At 43.7% G+C, this 24,076-nt stretch overlaps 1 pseudogene across 1 annotated transcript, besides 2 other annotated features; it reads right to left on the reverse strand.

Annotated features, from left to right (window-relative positions):
• Positions 1-2,747: 2,747 nt before the first annotated feature.
• On the reverse strand, positions 2,748-23,124 carry PMS2P3 (PMS1 homolog 2, mismatch repair system component pseudogene 3; annotated as a pseudogene). Its single transcript, NR_028059.1, has 9 exons — positions 22,566-23,124; positions 20,906-20,964; positions 11,095-11,221; positions 10,719-10,829; positions 9,646-9,785; positions 7,590-7,676; positions 7,310-7,422; positions 5,932-6,115; positions 2,748-2,868 (listed from the first exon to the last, which is right to left on the reverse strand). The product of NR_028059.1 is annotated as a PMS1 homolog 2, mismatch repair system component pseudogene 3 (transcript).
• Positions 22,774-22,923: a silencer, noted in NCBI's record as "silent region_18297". NCBI's record gives its function as "represses an Ori minimal core promoter by ATAC-STARR-seq in GM12878 lymphoblastoid cells {active_cell/tissue: GM12878}" and the evidence as "EXISTENCE:reporter gene assay evidence [ECO:0000049][PMID:35858748]".
• Positions 23,040-23,334: an enhancer, noted in NCBI's record as "tiled region #5953; HepG2 Activating DNase unmatched - State 1:Tss, and K562 Activating DNase unmatched - State 1:Tss". NCBI's record gives its function as "activates a minimal TATA promoter and a strong SV40 promoter by Sharpr-MPRA in HepG2 and K562 cells {active_cell/tissue: HepG2 | K562}" and the evidence as "EXISTENCE:reporter gene assay evidence [ECO:0000049][PMID:27701403]".

The raw sequence follows: 24,076 nt of genomic DNA on the forward strand, positions 1-24,076 counted from the left end.
CTAAAGGTGGCCGGGCGTGGTGGCTCACACCCATGATCCCAGCAGGAGTTTGAGACCAGCCTGGCCAACATGGTGAAACCCTGTCTCTACTAAAAATACAAAAATTAGGCAGGCGTGGTGGTGCACGCCTATAATCCCAGCTATTTGGGAGGCTGAGGCAGGAGAATCACTAGCAGAGATTGTGTCTCCTCGCCCCCTCTCAAAAAAAAAAAAAAAAAAAGAAAGTTCCTGCAGCAGTTAAAGCTGTGAAAGACAGGCACTCTGCCATGCAATTCTTTGTGATTTTTCTCTTTTCTTTTTGGAGTTGGGGTCTTGCACTGTCACCCAGACTGGGGTGCAGTGGTGTGGTCATAGCTCACTGCGGCCTCAGACTCAAGCTCAAGCGATCCTGTTACCTTGCCTTTCAAATTGCTGGGATTATAAGCATGAGCCACTGCATCTGGCCTGTGACACAATTCTGTTTTTTATCTTTTTTTTTGTGGGGGGGGGATGGAGTCTCGCTCTGTCACCCAGGCTGGAGTGCGGTGGCGTGATCTTGGCTCAATGCAAGCTCCGCCTCCTGGGTTCATGCCATTCTCCTGCCTCAGCCTCCCGAGTAGCTGGGACTACAGGCGCCCGCCACCATGCCTGGCTAATTTTTTGTATTTTTAGTAGAGACGGGGTTTCACTGTGTTAGCCAGGATGGTCTCGATCTCCTGACCTCGTGATCTGCCCGCCTTGGCCTCCCAAAGTGCTAGGATTACAGGCGTGAGCCACCGCGCCCAGCCTATGTGATGCAATTCTGATGTCAACTCCCTGATGTTACCTCAAATGCCACAGGTTAAGGCCACCAGCCCCCACTAGGCTGCCCTCGCTTTAGACACACCTGCAGGTTTGGGTGTCTTCAGACCACATATACTTCTCACCAACTGGCTGCAAATTTGGAGGTTCCCACCATGCCCTCAAGTTCGATAACTCACTAAAACAATTCACAGAATGCAGAAAAGCATGATACTTTCTTTCTCTTTTATTTTATTTTTTTTTTTTTGAGACGGAGTCTTGCTCTGTCGCCAAGGCTGGAGTACAGTGGCCACCATGCTTGGCTAATTTTTGTATTTGTATTAGAGACGGGGTTTCGCCATGTTGGCCAGGCTGGTCTTGAACTCCTGACCTCAGGTGATCCACCCGCCTTGGCATCCCAAAATGCTGGGATTATAGGCATAGCCACCATGCCCGGTCGACTTCTAGAGTTTCAATAACAGAGATGTGATTCAAGAAGGGAGACATGTTTTGTAGATGGCAGGAGCTTCATGAAAAGAAGCCAATGAAGGGCAGGACGTGTAGCTGTCTACCTACAGGAAACCAGCCAGGAGCCTCCCCAAAGGGACTTCAGCACAGATGGCCGGGAAAATCTGCATTAACCTGAGCTCTGGACCTAAGAGAGGACAAGGCCTTGACTGTTTCTACAGACTCACAAGATGCAATCTCTGCGGTCCATGCCCGTGGTGTGATCTGGGAAACGGGGGGCCTTCTAAATGCCAACAACAAGGAAATCAAATGTGCAACAAACAGAAATACCGGCATTGACGTGGGCCATGGAAAGGCCTAAACAGATGACTGCAGTTCACTGCCAAGGTCATCAAAGGGGTGACTCTGAAATAAGAAATTTCAGATGCCACGGCCCAAATAGCTGCACGAGGTGGGGAAGTCCTCCACATGCCTCTGCTTCCTTCAGTACCTGTTTATGAAATAAGCCGAGGTACTTCCCTGGGGAATTTCCTTTCTCTTTCTTTCTTTCGAGACGGAGTCTTGCTCTGTCGCCCAGGCTAGAGTGCAGTGGCGCAATCTCGGCTCAATGTAACCTCTCCCTCCTGGGTTTTAGCAATTCTCCTGCATCAGACTTCTGAGTAGCTGAGATTACAGGTGCATGCCACCATGCCCAGCTAATATTTGCATTTTTAGTAGAGACAGGGTTTCACCATCTAGGCCAGGCTGGTCTTGAACTCCTGACCTCGTGATCCACCCGTCTTGGCCTCCCAAAGTGCTGGGATTACAGGTGTGAGCCATCACGCCCGGACTTTTGTTTTATTTTTTGAGACGACGTTTCACTCTTGTTGCCCACGCTGGAGTGCAATGGCACGATCTCAGCTCACTGCCACCTCCTCCTCCCAGGTTCAAGCGATTATCCTGCCTCAGCCTCTCGAGTAGCTGGGATTACAGGCACCCAACACCAAACCCAGCTAACTTATTGTATTTTTAGTAGAGATGGGATGTCACCATGTTGGCCAGGATGGTCTTGAACCCCTGACCTCTAATGATCCACCTGAATTGGTTTCCCAAAATGTTGGGATTACAGGCACAAGCCACTGCGCCCAGCCCCTCCCATACCTCTTTTGGTCAAGGCAGCACAATTCAGAAGAATCTTGCCAGGGAAGACTGGTAAATGGACGTCAATGTGATGCCTATGGCTCCTGGTGGATTTAGATACCTCCTGGTGCTTATTGATATCTTTACCAGTTGCACGGGGGCTTTTCCATGCCAGACTGAAAACGCAGGAGATCAATGATCAACCTTCAACTATTTACTAGCAGAACACTGAGGGGACTGTGCGGTCACCAATACCTCCTATTGCACTTGGATAAACACCTCCCAGGAAATAGAGATGAATAGAAAGGACATAGTCAAACAAGCAGAATGGCTGCATTCCTTCAACCAGAAGGGCCATTAGTCTGTTTTCACACTGCTATAAAGAACTATGAGAAACTGGGTAATTTATGAAGAAAAGAGGTTTAATTGACTCACAGTTCTGCAGGCTGTACAGGAAGCATGGCTGGGGAGGCCTCAGGAAACTGACAATCACGGCAGAAGGCGAAGGGGAAGCAGGCACGTCTGGCCATGTTGGAGCAGGAGAGACAGAGAGAGTGAAGTGGGAGGGCTGCACGCTTTTAAACAACCAGATCCCACAAGCGCTCACTCAATATCACGAGAACAGCAAGGGGGAAGTCGGCCCCCATGAGCCAATCACCTCCCACCAGGTCCCTCCCACAACACTGGGAATTACAATTTGACATGAGATTTGGGTGTGGATACAGAGCTGAACCATGTCAAGGGTAGTTCAACCGCTGAGATTGATTGATTGATTGACTGAGATGGAGTCCTGCTCTGTTACCTAGGCTGGAGTGCAGTGGCACAATCTCGGCTCACTGCAACCTCCGCCTCCCAGGTTCAAGCAATTCTCCTGCCTCAGCCTCCCTAGTAGCTGGGACTACAGCACACGCCACCACACCTGGCTAATTTTTGTATTTTCAGTAGAGACGGGGTTTCACCATGTTTGCCCGGCTGGTCTTGAACTCCTGACCTCGTGATCACCCTGCCTCGGCTCTTCTTTTGCTGGAATTACAGGCGTGAGCCACCGCACCCGGACAACCACTGAGATTTAGAAGGCAGTCGAGTCCACTATACCGCACCTCACCTGGTTTCTTCCTCTGTTGGGGCCCCTCGTGGCCACTGTTCTGTTACTTTTTGGTCCTATTTATTTAAATGGATGGTGAGCTGTTTGTCCTCCAGGCTCCAACACTTCCACCTTCAGCTTGTATTACAACAATACCAGCCTTTCAAGCTACTCTGGGTGACCCCAGAACTCATCTGAACTCAGAAGCCCAAGAGTTTCATTCCTTTCACTTTAGGGGACTCAGTGCCCTGCTCAGCATGAAGTCGAAGCAGAAGCATGACCTCCATCCCTAATCCCTCAAGAATGAGGAGTGGAAGGTGTTGGCAGGAGGGTGGGGGTGAGGTTTGTAGATCTGTAACTGCATCAGACCAAATCTGGTTCAACTTTTTTTTTTTTTTTTGACGGAGTTTCACTCTTGTCACCCAGGCTGGAGTGCAATGGTATGAACTCAGCTCACTGCAACCTCCACCTCCTAGGTTCAAGTGATTCTGCTGCCTCAGCCTCCAGATAGCTGGGATTATAAGGGTGCACCACCACACCTGGCTAATATTTATATTTTTAGTAGAGACGGGGTTTTACCATTTTGGCCAGGCTGGTCTTGAAGTCCTGACCTCCACCTGCCTTGGCCTCCCAAAGTGCTGGGATTACAGGCGTGAGTCACTGCACCCGGCTCAGTTCAACTTTTATGTAATGAGGTTGTCAGTTGTTTTTCAATTGCCATGGACCCACAGGTTGAAGGGCATGTACCCTGTGCATGCCCAGGTTAACCAAGCATGCAACCACGGAGTGGAAACTAAAAGCTCGGCCTGAAGAGCTGAGACTGATTTAAGAACTGGACACTCCATGGCAGGAGCCAGGATCCAATCAGATTGAGTTTTGCTGTCACCCCATGGCAGGATCCAGTCAGATCACACCTCCCAGCATTACTTTATTGCAAGATCCAATCAAATCACAACTCATTACCCTATGCTTATAAAACCTGACATAGCCCCCAGCTGGGTAAGGGAGATTTGAGTATTTCTTCCTGTGTTCTTGCTAGCTGACTTTCAAAAAAGCTTTAAAAAAAAAAGCCAGGCGTGGTGGCTCACGCCTGTAATCCCAGCACTTTGGGAGGCTGAGGTGGGCAGATCACTTGAGGTCAGGGGTGCAAGACCAGCCTGGCCAACATGGTGAAACCCCATCTCTACTAAAAATACAAAAATTAGCTGGGTGTGGTGACACACACCTATAATCCCAGCTACTTGGGAGGCTGAGGTAGGAGAATCACTTGAACCCAGGAGGCGGAGGTTGCAGTGAGCCAAGATCACACCACTGCACTCCAGCCTGGGCGACAGAGTGAGAAGACTCCGTCTAAAAAAAAAAGTTAAAATTAGCACCAAACGCTTTACAAGTAAAAAAAGTTTGTAGCTGCATATGTTTAAGTAACTTTTTAGATTGTAAAAAATACACATACAAAATGGAAAGGCACAAAGAAGAGAGCAAAAAGTGCATGAGATCTCACATCCAAGGATAACCGCTGAGAACATGAAAGTGCTGACTCTTCCAGCCTTTATACTATACACATTTAGGCCGTTGTTTTGTTTTTATAAAACCGTAATCATATAATACAGATAGTTTTATAATCTGGTTTTTAAACACAACAATTACATAACATTTAGCTGTTTCTTTTGCATTCAGATTCATAAGGGTTCCAGTAACTCATTTATCAGAAAACCAAGAGAAATAGTCTCATTAAAATATAAGTACATAAGGCAGGCATGGTGGCTCACGCCTATAATCCCAGCACTTTGAGAGGCCGAGGTGGGCGGATCACCTGAGGTCAGGAATTTGAGACCAGCCTGGCCAGCCTGGACAACGTGGTGAAACCCCGTCTCTGCTAAAAATACAAAAATGAGCCAGGTGTGGTGGTGCGCGCCTGTAATCCCAGCTATTCAGAAGGCTGAGGCAGGTGAATCGCTTAAACTCGGGAGGTGGAGGTTGCAGTGAATCGAGATCGTGCCACTGCACTCCAGCCAGGGCGCCAAAGTGAGACTCCATCTCAAAAAAAGATAAAAATAAAAAATAAAAATAAAATATATATATGTATATATATTTTTCCAGACAGAGTCTTACTCTGTCTCCCAGTCTGAAATACAGTGGCACAATCATAGCTCACTGCAGCCTCAAGTTTCTGGGCTCAAGTGAATCTCCCACTTCAGCTTCCCAAGTAGCTGGAACTACAGGTGGATGCCACCATGCCCAGTCAATTTTTTTTTTAATTTTTCATAGAAACAGAGTCTCACTATGTTGCCCAGTCCTAATAAACACTATGTGATGAAAAGAAAAAAGTAAATCACCCTAAAGTTAAGTCTTTAATGTTAAGTCTTTAACGAGAAATGCAAATAAAGCATTTCTCAATAGATTATGGCAAGAGAATCAACTGAAGAATAAACATCTTTAGTAAATCTTTTGCTCATGTGCATTAACCAATACTCTTGAAAACCAAGATTAATTTACTGTACCTTCTTAATATTCCTTTGAAATTCCTTATGGCGCACAGGTAGCGTAGAAAATAACTGCTTCACGCTGACTGTGGTCCCTCTGGGGTGGGGGTAGGGGGTTTCCTGGATGATTTTCCCATCGTGATCAAACACCAGTCGAGTCCCAACCTTCACCGACGCGTGGCAGGTAGAAATGGTGACATCGCTGTGAGAGAATACCAGGCGTGGTGTGTTCAGTGAGAGACCCGTGATGTTGAGCATTGACTATGCTTTTCTTCACTTGCTTTTCTCTCAAAACTTTCTTAAAAAGCTGATGATCCCTCTGAGATAACCAAGATCTAAACGGTTGAGGAGTCATTATAAAATCTAAGGTTTGGCATCTAAAAGACAGTGAGACAGAGAGCACTAAACATGCTTTGTTTTGATAAAAGCTTTGATTTCATTTTTCAGGTTGAATTGCAAAACCATAAATGATCTCAAGGTTTATTTATTCACAAATAGAGATTTGTTTTGTTATTACTCTTCAAATAAAATTGTTTTAAAGAATTTTTTAAAGAATTAAAAAATTTTTTTAAATTTTTAAAGAATCCAAGAGATATTATAATTAAAATGTATATGTAGGGCAGGGTACGGTGGCTCATGCCTGTAATTCCAGCACTTTGGGAGGCCGAGGAGCGCAGATCACTTGAGGCCTGGAGTTCCAGACCAGCCTGGGCAACATGGCAAAACCCCATCTCTACTAAAAATACAAAAATTAGCCAGGAGTGGTGGTGCACGCTATAGTCCCAGCTCTTCAGGAGGCTGAGGCATGAGAATCACTTGAACCTGGGAGGCAGAGATTGCAGTGAGCTGAGACTGTGCCACTGCACTCCAGCCTGGGTGACAGAGTGAGACTCTGTCTAAAAAAACAAACAAACAAACAAAAATTATATATATACACATACATATATACACACACACATATATGTGTATATATATATACACACATATATATGTATATATATACACACATATATATGTATATATATATTTAAATATAATTATAAAAATTTAGTATCTGTTCTATAATTAAATAGTGCTTTGGTGAAATGTTTCCCTAAAATTTGATGATGAAAAGCAGTGGTAACTATCATTTATTACCTATATGTTATGTTAAAATTGAGAAGTTACTGTTCTAATAAGGGTAACCATTTTTTTTTAACAATACTATTTGCTTCATTTCATTCATTTATTTCCCACATTTCAGAAGTACTAGGACTTAGATTGGCAGTGAGACAAAACAGAATTCAGAAGCTAGAAGCTGAGATACCGAGATAGAAAATTGTAAATAACGATTCCAATTAACTTTCTGAGAGGTTTTTCTAAGGGGTCAAGTGAATGGATAAAAACATTGTATCACCTCAGTGCACACAGTGAGCTCAGAGCTTCCCCCTGAAAACCGAAAGTTTCAACTTCAGTTAGGTCGGCAAACTCTTGAATCTTACATGTGTGATGTTTCAGAGCTGAAAGAGACTGTAAAGTAAGGACTAAGATACCTCAAGTGCCAAAACAACGGATATACATGATATCTAGTAACTGGCTTAAAAAACTGTTTTTGCGTTTCCCAAGACAGTGTTACTCAAAATTCTGAGACATGTGGCCCAATTATTTTATAATAGGATTAGAAAAAGTCAACTTACTTAAGCCTTCAAAGTTTTCTTCTTCTACCCCACATCCATTGTCTGAAACTTCAATGAGATCCACTCCATAGTCCTTAAGCTTTAGATCTAGAAAGTTTAAATATTTATGTATTTATTAAAAATGGACCCATGCTAGAATGGCATGAACCCGGGGGGCGGAGCTTGCAGTGAGCCGAGATCGCGCCACTGCACTCCAGCCTGGGAGACAGTGAGACTCCGTCTCAAAAAGAAAAAAAAAAAAAATGGACCCATGCTATAAGCTTTTATATTGATATTATTTATAACATGTGCAAATTGAAGAGTCATAACTATACCTTTAGTTAAAAGTACGAGTATCATTTTGTATATTTCATTTTTATAAAGCCCTTTCTGGCCATTTACTAGCCCAGATTAAATAGTTTAGCTTTTTCTTTCCTCTTTTTTTTTTTTTTTTGTCCATAGGCTAGTCAAATGAAGCAGTTGGAGTGGAGAAGGTACAAAAAAATCTGTAACTGGTTGTGATCAATTAGTGGTTAACACCGTTGCACTTTGACCAGCCTTTTCTTTTGAAAGAAATAATTTTAACATACCCAGTAAGGAGAAAGGGGGGCAGGCGCGGTTGTTCATGCCTGTAATCCCAGCACTTTGGGAGGCCAAAGTGAGCAGATCACCTGAGGTCAGGAGTTCCAGACTAGCCTGACCAACGTGGAGAAACCCTGTCTCTACTAAAAATACAAAATTAGCCAGGTGTGGTGGTGCATGCCTGTAATCCCAGCTGCTCATAAGGCTGAGGCAGAATTGCTTGAACCCGGGAGGCGGAGGTTGCGGTGAGCCGAGATCGTGCCGTTGCACTATACCCTGGGCAACAAGAGTGAAACTCCATCTCAAAAAAAAAAAAAAAGGCAACTGCTTCTGGAATCAGACTTCCTGGATCCTATTTTATTAGCTTTATAATCTCAAAAAAAGGAAATTTCCTGTTCCTTAATTTCCTCATCTGTAAAATGAAGATAATAAGTTCTATCTCATAAAGTTACTCAGCTGATTAATAATTTTTCAGGTTTATTTTATTTTGTTATTTTTTTTTTTCTTGTTTTTTTTTGAGATGGAGTTTTGCTCTTGTCACCGAGGCTGGAATGCAGTGGCATGATCTGATCTTGGCTCACTGCAACCTCCACCTCCGAGGTTCAAGCAATTCTCCTCCCTCAGCCTCCCGAGGAGCTGAGATTACAGCCATGCACCATCACATCTGGCTAATTTTTGTATTTTTAGTAGAGACAGGGTTTTACCATGTTGGTTAGGCTGGTCTTGAACTCCTGACCTCAAATGATCAGCCCTGCTCTGCCTCCCAAAGTGCTGGGATTATAGATGTGAGCCACTACTCCATGCCTATTTTATTTTTATTGAGACAGAGTCTTGCTCTGTCCCAGGCTGGTGTGCAGTGGCACGATCTCGGCTCACTGCAACCTCTGCCTCCCGGGTTCAAGCCATTCTCATGCCTCAGCCTCCCAAGTAGCTGGGATTACAGGCTTCTGCCACCAAGTCTGGCTAATTTTTATATTTTTAGTAGAGACAGAGTTTCACCATTTTGGACAGGCTGGTCTCAAACTGCTGACCTCAGGTATCCACCCACCTTGGCCTCCCAAAGTGCTGGGATTACAGGTGTGAGCCACCACACCCGGCCTGCTTTATTTTTTTAATAGAGATGAGGTCTCACCATGTTGGCCAGGTTGGTCTTGAACTCTGGCCTCAAGCAATCCCCCCACCTTGGCCTCTCAAAGGGCTAGGATTACAGGCGTGAAACACCACGCCCAGCTATTCTGCAAATTAAATGAGATATTTCTGTGCAATTCTTAGCATAACACCTGCCTGGCACACCATAAGAACACAAGAAAAGCTGTCGTTATTATTATTACTACCTAGCTAAGTACTAGGCACATAATAGGTGCTAACTTTAACTTAAAAATAATAATTTATTACTACATCAACACTTGATAGTCTTATTTCAATAACAAATGTTTCTTGACTACAACAACACACACTAATCATTTCTTGTGGCTTAAAACTCTCCCAAACTTACCAATATTAGTGGCACCAGCATCCAGACTGTTTTCTACTAACTCCTTCACTGCAGTGCTTAGACTCAGTACCACTGGCCCAGAGCAAATCTGATGGACTGACTTCCGATCAATAGGTTTGATGGCCTTAGCAGGTTCTGTACTAAAGAAATGTTACAAGAAACAAAGCAAGTATTCAGCTATATATTTTCATCCTGATTTTAACTGTGGGAAATGACTCAACACTGTAAATAGTTTATGGGTCTAATCTGTTCAGTTATTATATTAACAAATACATTTATTATATCCAGAAATAGAAACACTGTTTTACAATCCTTAAACATGTACCCAAAATACTTCTGGATAGATACTTCAAATTCAACAGATCCTTACTATCTAGGATCCACATGGAGAAAACTACATTGTATCTCTCAAATTACCAAAATCTTTGGCAACAATGGTGTCTTCTTTCTTGAAAACTGAAAGCATGGCCTGGTGGGGTGGCTCATGCCTGTAATCCCAGCACTTTGGGAGGCAGAGGCAGGCGGATCACTTGAGGTCAGGAGTTGGAGACCATCCTGGCCAACATGGTGAAACCCTGTCTCTACTAAAAATACAAAAAATTAGGCAGGCATCATGGTGGGCGCCTATAAACCCAGCTACTCAGGAGGCTGAGGAAGGAGAATCGCTTGAACCTGAGAGATAGTGGTTGCAGTGAGCGAGAGCATACCAGTGCACACCAGCCTGGGTGATAGAACAAGACTCTGTCTCCAAAAAACAAACAAACAAACAAACAAACAAAAAACTCACAACAATTCTCTAATGGCGAGGGAGTAAGTAAGTGACCGATAATGCTGGAGAAAGAGGAAGTGACTGGGTCCCCAGTACAGGTTAGAATGAAAAAATCCCTACCAATGTAAATCAAATGTAAAATCAACAAAAGAGTTCATGTATGTGGTATGTGTGTGGGAAGGAAAGTGATATTTGGGGGTTGGGAGGTGTTACTGAGGGTACCGAGTACATATAAACAACTCTTTAGTCACTCCCAAAGGTCTGGGATGAGTGTTTTTTAACATGTGATAATCTACTAACTTACCTGGACTATGTTGACATGGAAATTCACCTTCCATTATCCACGGCTCCTCTCCCTGCTCCACTTCCTTCACCTCCACTCCATGATGATGTTTGGCTTGGTGATAATCATACCCTGTTAATGGGAAAAGAAGAAGGACTTGGGCAAGCTGCTTGGCTTCAGAATCTCCAAAGTACAAGATGTTGCCACCTCATTAGCTGCATAACAGAAGTGCTCCATTTTTTTTTACCTTATCAAAGTTAGAACCTTTCAATGAAGAATAATATAAACACTCCAGCTAGTGCCCACAAGGAATTAAATGGTGTCATCACTTATTTCTTCAAACTCAAGGATAAAACCCCATTCAACTGAGAGCATTCAGAAAGCAAGCCATCCTCACCCACAGAAACTAGATGGCTGTAGTTCTCCAACATCACATCCCCGTATGCTATCTTCTCATCAGGGTCCAGTTGCCGCCACTCCTCCTGGGTGAAATCCACAGCCACATCTTTGAATGACACTGGCCCCTGTAATGGCAACATGATCAGAATTGGGAGATATGGAAAAGGGATAGGGGGATATCATTTTACAAAGTTCACTCGTAAAGTTAACCATGAACATTGTATACCTTATTTTATGTTACAGATTATGGAAGGGAAATCATATTGGAAATCATAGAGGAAACATATATCCTTTGGGGATATATATATATAAAATATATATTACCCCACAAAAATAAAAACCCAAAACACAACTGAACTCCTATTTTGCAACTGAACTGAGTTTTGGGGATATGAGATGAGTGAAACACCATGCCTGCTCTCAGAAAGCAGACAACCTAATAAGGAGATAAACATGTAAACAAACACAAGCATTTTACTCCTTGTCACTTCTTTGCTGCCAGGCCCTCCCCTTCTCCTGGACCTCTTCATGTTGGAGTGCCCACCACTCAGTTCCTGGTCTTCTTCTTCCTAACTCACTGCTCTGGGGCTCTCACCTAGTTTCAGCTCCTTGTTCTTTTGTCTTTTTTATTCTCATAGTCAGTGGCCTCTGGCTATCTGCATGGCTGAGTTTTATCTCAAACATCTCAATCTCACAGCAATAAATATTCGTTAAATGAATGAATGCCCAAAGCTGTTATTAGAGTAATGCAGACAAGGTGCAGAATGATTTAACAAAAGAGGATCAAATTATTTTAACTTTATGCCATCAGTTAGGCTTCACAGACTCAGTTAACTTGAAGTCCTTAAAGATGAATTGTGTATTCTATGGGATGAAGGGGAAGAAGAATATGATGAGGTGTAAAAAGTACCAATGGCAAACATGAAGCAGCTTCAATTTTTAAGAGGTTGGGGCTGGGCATGGTGGCTCATGCCTATAGTCCTAGCACTTTGGGAGGCCGAGATGGGAGGATCATTTGAGCTCAGGAGTTCGAGACCAGGTTGGGCAACATAGTAAGAACCTCATCTCTACTAAAAATAAAAATTTTTTAAAAAATTGGCTGGGCATCATGGCACATGCCTGTAGTTCCAGCTACCTGGGAGGCTAAGGCAGGAGGATGGCTTGAGCCTGGGAGGTCAAGGCTGCAGTGAGCTGTGAATGCAACACTGCACTCCAGCCTAGGCAACAGAGCGAGACCTTGTCTCAAGAAAAAGAAAAGAAAAATGCAAAACTCCTGGGCTCCAGCAATCCACCTGCTTTGGCCTCCCAAAGTGTTGGGATTACAGTCTTGGGCCAGCATACCCCGCCCAAACTTGTAGTTTAGAAAAAGGAAGTGCCCAGTAAGCAAGTTACATTATCCTGTTATTTATAAAGAAGATATCAACAAGGGGTTCAAACCCAGTGATATAGCTAGGACCATGTAGATCCCAAGAGATAGCAGAGTCAGAGCCGCTAGGCTGGTGGGCTGAGAAACTAAAGCAGAACATCCAAGCTTATCCACAGGCAGGCCAAAGGAGCTGATAAAATCACCGAGAGAGAGTAATAACCTTCTAGGTTAAGTTAGTCCAAAAGGCAAGGAGGTGGAGGGGTTAGAAGATGGATCAGCCAATAAATAACATAAAATTACATGCCACTACAATACCACTTATATCAATACAAATACCCAAAATGAAACATAACCAAACAAAATCCAGTACCAGATTAAAAACATAATATACAACAGACAAATAGGACTTATTCCAATAATATAGACTAGTTTAGTATTTGGAAATCTATTAATATGATAGGCCACTATAACACAGCAAAGAAGAAAAATCTTGTATCCATGAAGATACTTGAAAAAGCTTGACAGAAAAACCTGATTTAAAAAAACTAAAGAAAACAGAAACTGATGGATGCTTCATTAACATCAATATTATGTATATATACAAATATAAATATTACACCCTAATATGCAGTAGTACATATGATATATATGTGACATATGTATTTCAATTACACACAAGCATATATATAGTTTGTGTGTATACACACACAGACACATGTACGTGCACACACACGGACACACATAAACTCTTATGCCTCAGTCTTCTTGGTCCAAAAGTCAGGATTTTACTTAACAGGGAAAAACTACATACCTTCCCACTAAGATCAAGAACAAGGTATTAATAAAATGCTCATTATCTACAACTAGAGAAGAGAAAACAATTAGAGGAATATAACTAAGGAAAAGTAAAAGTGCTCGGGCGGCCAGGCGCGGTGGCTCACGCCTGTAATCCCAGCACTTTGGGAGGCCAAGGCGGGCGGATCACAAGGTCAGGAGATCGAGACCATCCTGGCTAACATGGTGAAACCCCGTCTCTACTAAAAATACAAAACATTAGCCGGGCATGGCGGCGGGTGCCTGTGGTCCCAGCTACTCGGGAAGCTGAGGCAGGAGAATGACGTGAACCCAGGAGGCGGAGTTTGCAGTAAGCTGAGATTGTGCCACTGCACTCCAGCCTGGGCGACAAGTGAGACGCCATCTCAAAAAAAAAAAAAAAAGTGCTCGGGCACGGTGGCTCACGCCTGTAATCCCAACACTTTGGGAGGCTGAGGCGGGCAGATCACCTGAGGTCAGGAGTTTAAGACCAGCCTGGTCAACATGGTGAAACCCCATCTCTACTAAAAATCCAAAAAAAAAAAATTAGTTGTATTATTAAGGTCAACGTAATAATACAAAGATATCAGTTACCCTAAATTACTTTATAAATATACAATCCCAATAAAAATACCAAAAAGCTTTTTCCTGGAACTAGATAAGCCGACACTACAGTTCATATGAGGTGGAAGAAAATCAAAAACAGCTCAGGGAAAAAAAATATTTGGACATGGATAAAACTGGACCCAGGCCAGGTGTGGTGGCTCATGCCTGTAATCCCAGCACTCTGGAAAGCTGAGCCAGAAGGACTGCTTGAGGCCAGGAGCTTGAGACCAGCCTTGGCAACATAGCAAGACCCTGTCTCTACAAAGAAAAAAATATATATATTAGAAAAAATAGAGAGAGAGAGACATGAGGACTTCTGCCCTCAGGTGTGATAAACTAACAGGTACTGCATATACCCTCCAACCTGAAACAGCACACACCAAAGAACAACAACAAAATCAAAAACAGAAAGAAAAATAAAATGGAGAACATATATGAAGCAATGGTTTGTTTGTTTTTGTTTTTGTTTTTTATGAGACAAAGTCTCACTCTTGTCTTCCAGGCTGGAGTGCGATGGCACAATCTTGGCTCACTGCAACCTCCGTCTCCCGAGTTCCAGCGATTCACCTGCCTCAGCCTCCCAAGTAGCTGGGATTACAAGCATGCACCAGCACGCCCGGCTAATTTTTGTATTTTTAGTAGAGACGGGGTTTCACCATGTTGGCCAGGCTGGTCTTGAACTCCTGACCTCATGATCCGCCTGCCTTGGCCTCCCAAAGTGCTGTGATTACAGGTATGAGCCACCACGCCTGGGCTGAAGCAATGGCTTTCAAGGCACTGATTATCAGGCAGTAGAGTTATCTATGAGTGATGGGAAATAAACAAGGTGAACCAATCAACTTCTGCCTTGAGTGACTCCAGGCCACGGAGCAGGGAAGAAGAACAGAGGCAGATGTGAGGAGAAAGAGCTGCGAGTCGGGAAAATGGGCAGGAAACTACAACCCATAAGGAAAACAATCAGTCCATCAAAACTGGCCCAGAATTGACACAGAGTTTACAACTGGCACAGAGCACTGAGAGAGTTCATCATTCTATTCCAAATGTTCAAAAAAATTGAGACAGGCAAGATGTGAAAAAGACCCATGCTAACCTTCTACAGATAGAAACTACAATATCTGAGATGAAAATTATACTGGACAAGATGAACAGCATCGTGGAAAAAAGAGATTAGTGAATATAAAGACAGCAACAGAAGTTACATAAAATGAAACAGAGAAAGAAGAATTAAAAGCAAATAAAGAGCAACAGTATGTTGTGGGAAAATTTCAAGTGGCCTAATATACAGGCAACAAGAATCAATGGAGGGGAGGTGGTGGGTACTTGAAGAAATAATGATAAAAATGTTCCCCAAGTGATGACACCATAAACCCAAGATCCAAGAAGTTCAATGATCCCCAAAACAGAAACATGAAAAAAAGATACCATGACATATTGCAATCAAATTGTCCAAAACTAGTGATAAAAAGTTTAAAACAATAAGGGGGGAAGAAAAAAAGACATGTTATATATAGGGGAACAAACATGAGTATGAGATCAGATTTCTCTTAGAAAAAAATGTAAGCAGGAAGACAACAGAGAAACATATTTAAAGCACTGTGGAGAAAAATCCAGCAAAAACACCTTTAAAAGCAAAGACACAATGAAGACATTTGCAGACCTACAAGAATTCATCATCAACTAGAAGAAATGTTAAAGAAAGTCCTTCAGGCAGAAGTAAAATGACAGAAAATAAAAATTTAGATTTACATAAAGGAATGAAGAGTACCAGAAATGGTAACTGTGTATTTTCTCTCATTACTTAAATCTCTTTAAAAGATACCTGGGCCAAGTGTGGTGGCTCACACCTGTAATCCCAGCACTTTGGGAGGCTGAGGCAGACAGGTCACCTGAGGTCAGGAGTTCGAAACCAGCCTGGCCAACATGGCGAAACCTCATCTCTACTAAAAATACAAAAATTAGCCGGGCGTGGTGGTAGGTGTCTGTAATCCCAGCTGAGGGAGGCTGAGGCAGGAGAATCACTTGAACCCAGGAGGTAGAGGTTGCAGTGAGCCGAGATCGCACCCCTGCACTCCAGCCTGGGGGACAGAGTGAGACTCTGTCTCTAAATAAATAAATAAATAAATAAACAAATAAAAGATAACTGTTTAATTAACAACAACGTAATAGATAGTGTGTGGCACTGATACCACCTGTAAAAATGAAATGAACAACGGTGTAAAGACCAAGAGGAGAGAAATGGAAGTGTCCTATTGTAAGCTTCTCTTACTCTAAGAAAAATGGTATATTACTTAAGAATAAACTATGATAATTAAGGCTGCATACTATAAATTCTAACTCACTAAAATAATAACAGTGTGATAGCCAAAAACCCAACAAAAGATATAAAGTAGAATCATAAAAAATTCTCAACTAATCAAAAGGAAGGAAGACAAACAGAGACATTTTAAAAAGAAACAAAGAAGATGAGACTAAAAGAAAGCAAAGACAGTGGACTATAACCTAACTCGTTTTATCAATAATCACATTACATGTAAACGGTTTATACATCCCCAATTATGAGACAGAAACAGACTGATGAAAACAAGCAAGATCCAAATCTTGCTGCCTACAAGAAATAATACTTTAGATATAAAGATGCAAATAGGTTAAAAGTAAAAGGATGGAATAAGATATAGCATGCATGCATTACTCAAAAGAATGCTTCATAAATAACAAAGTACATTTCACAGCCTGGAATATTAGCAGGGATAAGGAAGGCCATTTTACAAAGTGGTTAATTAATCAACAGGACGTAATAACCTTGAACATTTATGTATCTAATATAACACATAAAGCAAAAAGTGGTAAAATTGCAAAGAGAAACAGAACCACAACTGCAGCAGATTTCAATCCCCTCTCCCCCACAATTGATACAAGTGGGCACACAATCAACAAGGATATAGTACACCTGAACAACACAACCAACCAACTTGATCTCATTAACATTTATCAAACACTCCACCCAACCAGAGCAGAACAAGCCATCTTCTCAGGCATGCACAGAATTTTCCCAAGACAGATCCTATTATGAGCCATAAATTTAAGAGGTTCCATGTAGTATTCCAGACAAAAATTCAGTCTAAATCTAATCATGAAGAAAGATCAGGGAAACCTAAATTTAAAGACTTCTATAAAATCACTGGCCTGTATTCTTCAAATATTATAATGGCACTGAGGAACAAATCCATATTAAACAGACTTAAAAAGCATGAAAACTAAAGGCAATTAACAGTCCTAGACTGAATCTTCTACCAAAAATTAAAAATTGCTATAAGGGAAATTATTGGGAAATTGGCCAAACTGGAAAATGAACTACAGATAAAAGTATTAAATCAATGATAAATTTCCTGAATTCAATTACTGTGCTATGGATATTTAACAGAATGTTCTTGATTTTATGAGATATAATCTAAAACTTTATAGGGTAAAGAGGCATGACATACCCACTCTCAAATAGTTCAGAAAATATATATAGACACATATGTATATATGCATATAAATGATTAATGTGGGAAAATGTTAAGAATGAAGTGTCTGAACAAAAGGAAGTGTCTGGGATTTCTTTGTAAAATCCTTGCAATTTTTCTGAAAATTTGAAATGATTTCAAAATAAAATGCTAAATAGAAAATAATGCTATCAAATATATATTATATGTATACATTTGCTATCAAATATATCAAATATATTTCAAAAGGACTCAGAAACCAACTTAAAGGGATTCCGTCTGGCCAAAGATGGAACCACTTAATTTTCAAAAAGAATCACAACTTCTATGTACTGAAATATTTACTATCTGTTTAAACCCATGAGCTCATGATGGTAACAAAACAAAAAAACCTTCCTGCTTAGAAGCCTACTCAATATTATAGAAACTGTCTTTCCTGCATGAATTACATAAACAAATAAAGAATAGAAATTTATCTTTAGAAAAGTATTCTAGGCCAGCTGTGGTGGCTCATGCCTATTATCCCAACACTGGGAGGTCAAAGAAGAGGATCACTTGAGCCCAGTTCAAGACCAGCCTGGGCAACAAAGAGAAACCTGTCTCTACTAAAAATTAAAAAATCAGCTGGGCATTGTGGCATATGACTATACTCCCAGCTACTTGGGAGGCTGAAGTGGGAGGATCACTTGAGCACAGGAGTTTGAGGCTGCAGTGAGCCATAAATGCGCCAGCCTGGGCGACAGAGTGAGACTCTGTCTCCAAAAAGAGAAAAGAAAAGAAACGTATTTTGGCTAGTAAATAAAGAATAAATGGTAGAATTAGCAGATCACCATTTTGCCTCCCCTAATGAACTAGTAAATCACAGCAATAATCAACAGTCAATAGTTCTTAACTTCACAAAAACAAAGAAGGTAACACGTGCCTCCAGAAGTAGACAAATGCCACATATGGTATAGTTGTGTGAAAAGAACTGAACATAAACTTGATTAGACTTCTAGATCAAACTACCAATTTTACAAGGCATATGAGATATTTTTTAAAAATTTGCTAAAGGTGAAACAAGGGTAACACAATCCAAACTGAGGATAACCAACACAGTTTCTTCAAAACAATGAGCACGCAAGAGACATACTATGGGAACTATTAAAAGATTTAACGCAACTGCCACATGTATTAAGAGAGTATTATGGGTTATTCCTAGCCCCTTTAAAAAAATTCTTTATTGGCCACGTGTGGTGGCTTACACCTGTAATCCTAGCACTTTGGGAGGCCAAAGTGAAAGGATAACTTGAGGCCAGGAGTTTGAGACCAGCCTGAGCAATACAGTGAGAATACATCTCTAGGCCAGGAGCAGTGGCTCACGCCTGTAATCCTAGCACTTTGGGAGGCCGAGGCAGGCAGACTGCCTGAGCTCAGGAGTTCGACACCAGCCTGTGTGACACAGTGAAAGCCAGTCTCTACTAAAATACAAAAAAAATTAGCCAGGTGTGGCAGCGTGCATCTGTAGTCCCAGCTACGTGGGAGGCTGAGGCAGGAGGATCGCATGAGCCCAGGAGATTGAGGCTGCAGTGAGTTTTGATCACATCTACACTCCAGCCTGGATGACACAGCAAGACCCTATCTCAAAAAAAGAAAAAAAGAAACAAAACAAAAGACTTCACCATTTAAAGACAAACAGAAATACTTACAGATGAATCTTTTTAAGAGCCAAGAAAAGAGAGACTCCATGGAGAAAATATCAGTTTCGAAGTAACGGATGTCAAAGGCAGACAAAGGGTCCTGTGAGGAAGGGGCTAGGAATTGCCCGCTGGATTTGACTGCAATTAAATCACTGGTCATCTTTACTGACTGACTCAGCAAAGTGAAAAGGACAAAACGAAAACACTGAGAACTGAAATGAGAAACAGAAATGAGGAAATCTTCACAAGAGAGTAACTGTTTGTATTGTTTGCTGTGCAACCCAAACAAAAAGACGAACAAATATCTGAAGGATGATCATGTCATTCATTCCCCCCATGATCTAGGACTCAACAGTAAAAACAGAATTCTGTTTACTTGGATCACGATATTTCCGTCCCTGGAAAAATTATATGCACCAAGTTCTCCTTGGGCAGCAGGCCCTCTGCTTACATAAGCACCAAGAATAAGCCATAAGTCAGTAATTTAATGGTTGTTGTTAGGAAAGCTATCCACAATTATATCAACTTGAATGAAGAAATTTTTCCAAGTCCTAGAAAATCTTTTAAATCCACAAGTAACAAAATTGGTTTCTCCTTATAATCAATGCAAATCATGTCATGGATGGTGATATGGTTTCAGTTTGTGTCGCCTCCCAAATCTCATATTCAATTGTAATCCCCAATGTTGGAGGTGGGACCTGGTGGGAGGTGATTGGATCATGGGGACAATTTCCCTTTTGGTGCTGATACTGAGTGAGTTATCACAAGATGTGGTTGTTTAAAAGTGTGTAGCGCCTCCCCCTCCTTCTTCCTTCTCCTCTGGTGATGAAGATGTACCCGCTTTTCCTTCGCCTTCCACCATGACTGTAAGTTTCCTGAGGCCTCCCCAGCCATGCTTCCCATGATAGAGCCTGCAGGTGTGAGCCAATTAAACCTCTTTTCTTTATAAATTACCCAGTCTTGGTTATTTCTCTATAGCAGTGTGAGAATGGACTAATACAGATGGCATTTTCCTTTTGTGATGACTGCCAAGAATGTCAGTCCTGGGTGCGGCTCAATTTCAACAGCCTTAAAATATACTACCCATACATACAAGCTTCACAAATCATTTTTGGTGCTGATCTGCCACACTAACTATATTTTACAGGATAATGTCTATTTCCACATTCCCATTTTAAAGTATGAATCCTGGCTGGGCGTGGTGGCTCATGCCTGTAATCCCAGAACTTTGGGAGGCTGAGGTGGGAGGATCACCTGAGGTCAGGAGTTTGAGACCAGCCTGGCCAACACGGTGAAACCCCGTCTCTTCTAAAAATACAAAAAATTGGCTGCGCACGGTGGCTCACGCCTGTAATCCCAGCACTTTGGGAGGCCGAGGCGGGTGGATCACAAGGTCAGCAGATCAAGACCACGATGAAACCCCGTCTCTACTAAAAATACAAAAAAAAAAAAAATTAGCCAGGCGCAGTGGCGGGCACCTATAGTCCCAGCTGCTCAGGAGGCTGAGGCAGGAGAATGGCGTGAACCCAGGAGGCGGAGCTTGCAGTGAGCCGAGATCACGCCACTGCACTCCAGCCTGGGCAACAGAGTGAGACTCCGTCTCAAAAAAAAAAAAAAATTAGCTGGGCATGGTGGCGCATGCCTGTAATCCCAGCTACTCTGGAGGCTGAGACCGGAGAATCGCTTGAACCCAGGAGGTGGAGGTGGCAGTGAAGCAAGATCATGCCACTGCACTGCAGGCTGGGCAATAGAGCAAGACTGCATCTCAAGAAAAAAAAAAAAAGTATGAATCCTTACAAGCCTCTTAAAATGCATCATAAAATAAAGTTGAGGAACATATATACAAGCAGGAAAACTCACCTGCAATGTGTTCATTTCCTGTTGCTCTTGGAAACATGCAGAGACTGTGGCTGATAGACCTAGAGGGGCAGAAGCAGGTCACTGAAGTCATGAGGGCTCCGGCCTGCAAAGGCAGAAATCTCCTGCATTACGAACCACAAAAGAAAGCTCAAATAGGTTAACACCCTGTGAACACTCAGCTGCAAACACTCAGAAGGGCCTAAAAGAGTGATACAGGGTTTCACCACATTGGCCAGGCTGGTCTCGAATTCTGGCCTCAAGTGATCCACCTGCCTCGGGCCAACATGGCAAAACCCCGTCTCTACTTAAAAATAGCAAAAAAATTAGCCAGGCATAGTGTCACATGCCTGTAGTCCCAGCTACTCAGGAGGCTGAGGCACAAGAATCATTTGAATCTGGGAGGTGGAGGTTGCAGTGAGCGGAGACCACGCTGTTGCACTCCAGACTGGGTGAGAGATACTGTCTCAAAAAAAAAAAAAAAAAAAAAAAAAAGTGATAGGGGAAGCATGCACTTGTAACTTTGTAACTCTAAGATAATCAGATAGTAATTAGGTGAGTTAAGACTCTCATGGGTAACATGGTCTGCCATCAAGTACAACGTGCAAAAAGAAAAAAATTTCCCATTATACAGCTCATGATTTTTGTGGTTTGTTTGCTGAGACAGGGTCTCAATCTGCCACCCAGGCTGGAGTGCAGTGGTGCATTCACGGCTCTCTGCAGCCTCGACCTCCTGGGCTCCATCCATCCTCCCACTTCAGCCTCCTGAGTAGTTAGGACCACAGGTGCATCCCAGCATGCCTGGCTGCTTTTGTATTTTTTGTAGAGTCAGGGTCTCCCTATGTTGCCTAGGCTGGTCTCTAACTCCTGGTCTCAAGGGATACTCCTGCTCTAGGCCCGCAAAGTGCTGGGATTACAGGTATGAGCCACTGCATCCGGCCCGCGTTTTCTTATTGTCTCTCTAAACTGCTTAAAATCAAAGAAGCCATAGGAATTGAATATGTGAGCTCTCAGAAATGAAATGAATGTGTATAAAATATGGTTTTGTTTCTAAATTATCTAACTGAACTTGGTTATTGCTGCACCTAATAATCTTCTATTAAGAAAACTAGGATACGGGAGAAAGAGCACTGGCCTGGGAGATAAGACTCCTGAGTTCTACTATGAGTAATTCCATCCACAAAGCCAGTGACCTGGTCAAGTCACCCACCTGCTAAGGCCCAGTCTCTTCCCCTAGCAACTGAGGCAGCAGGAGAGAATCCCTGCAGGCTGTTCCTGCATTACTACGATTCTCCCAGGGCAGATCTAAGGGGCGAATCAGCAGACACTTAAATGAGAGAACAGAGGTGCTGAGGGACGTTTAGAGGCGGTCGAAATCTGGAGCACGGAGAGGAGGAGGAAGGGCTGTTAGGGGTTAGCGGGGAGTGGAGACGACGTCCGCAGCTGAGGGTGGTGACACCCTCCACGCCCCCGTAAGCCTCGTCCTCCCAGATCTTCCCATGCAGCGCCTGTTCCGTGCAGCCGGACCCTGCCCTCGAACCCAAACACACGTCTCTCCTGCAAGCGATCGGGACCCTCCCCCTGCCCCACACTCAAAGGTCCCCAACACACGGTGACTTCACCCAGGCCCTTCTCGCTCTGGGCCCGAAAATCCCAGACTTACCCTCCTGGGGCTCCGCAGCCTCTGCCCCCCGGCTCCCGAGAGGCCGGGGCGGGGCTGCTGTCGCTGGCGCGCGCGTCTGCTCGCGAGGTCCCCTCCTGTCCACCTCACCAAGGCTGTTCTGCTCCCGAGGGGCCCGGGCCGGGCCTACGGGGCAAATCCAGGCGGGTGTCCTTCTGGGGGCCCAGATCCGCCTCCCTGGGGCTCACCATACAGCGACGGCCTAGTCTAGGCCGCCAAGGACACATACGGGCCAGGCCCGGGTCCCGCCGCCCCTTCGCCTCCGCCGCCACTTCGCCTCCGCCGCCACCTCAGCCGACTCCCTCCCGGCCCCTCTGGCCCCAGCGCCGCCGACTCCGGGGCTCACGCTCCGGGGTCCCCGCTTGAGCCTCCACCCGGCCCGCGCGAACCCTGGTCTGCACAGCTCCGCGTCCGCCTAGGTGCTGGCCCGGGCGGTCAGCATCCAGCCCCGCAGGCTATGCGATGCTCGTCCACTGCAGGCCAAACCCTAGGAACGAGAGCAAGCGGCGACCTGAAGACTCACAGGAAGCGAGGGCAGTGCGGCGGCAGCGCGCATGCCCGAACACGCACGCCGGGAGAGGTGCACACGCGCAGGAGTGCACCGGAAGTCCGCCTCCCAGGGCCCACTGCTGGTCTCCGGACAAGTACTGGACTCTATTTCCCATGAGCCTATGCGCCTCACAAGTTTAGGGGCGGTTTTAAATGTCTCTACCCCGCCTAGAGGATAAGAAACTCCAGGCTATGAGCTTTGGCAGCCCTGAACACCGGACTGAACTTCACGTTTGTCTTTACTCCCTTTTAGTCCAGGGCTGCCTTACTGGGTCCTGGAGCCCAAGTCCTCTGGGTTAGAACCGAGTTTCCCATAAGGAGAAGGAAAGGAAAGGGTGTCTCTTGGTCACTGCGCTGAAATGCTAAGAGAAGTTTCACTCAAATACTAGGACAGGATAAATGCCCAGCGATGCTTTCCAAGGAACAAAAAGAAAAAAGAACTTGTAGCCGGGCGCGGTGGCTCACGCCTGTAATCCCAGCACTTTGGGAGGCCGAGGCGGGCGGATTGCGAGGTCAAGAGATAGAGACCATCCTGGCCAACATGATGAAACCCTGTCTCTACTAAAAATACAAAATTTAGCTGGGCTAAATTCGAGTTCTCTCGAATTCCACTTTTGCTCAGTTTTTCTTTGTCAGCACTCATTGTCAGGAGTGTTTAAGTGCTGTACCTGGATCCACTCACCTCAGCCTCCCATGTTGCTGGGACTACAGGTGTGCACCACCACACCTGGCTATTTATTATTATTATTTTTTGTAGAGATGGGGTCTCCCTATGTTGCCCAGAGTGGTCTTGAACTCCTGGACTCAAGTGATCCACTCACCTGAGCCTCCCAAAGTGCTGAGATTATAGGTGTGAGCCACTGTGCCCGGCCAACTACTGTTCTTTTTAAATTACCAGGTCTCAGGTACTGTTAAAGCAGTACAAATGAACTAAGAAACTGACT

The sequence above is a fragment of the Homo sapiens genome, chromosome 7 (assembly GCF_000001405.40).
Source record: "Homo sapiens chromosome 7, GRCh38.p14 Primary Assembly".
Taxonomy (NCBI): Eukaryota; Metazoa; Chordata; class Mammalia; order Primates; family Hominidae; genus Homo; species Homo sapiens.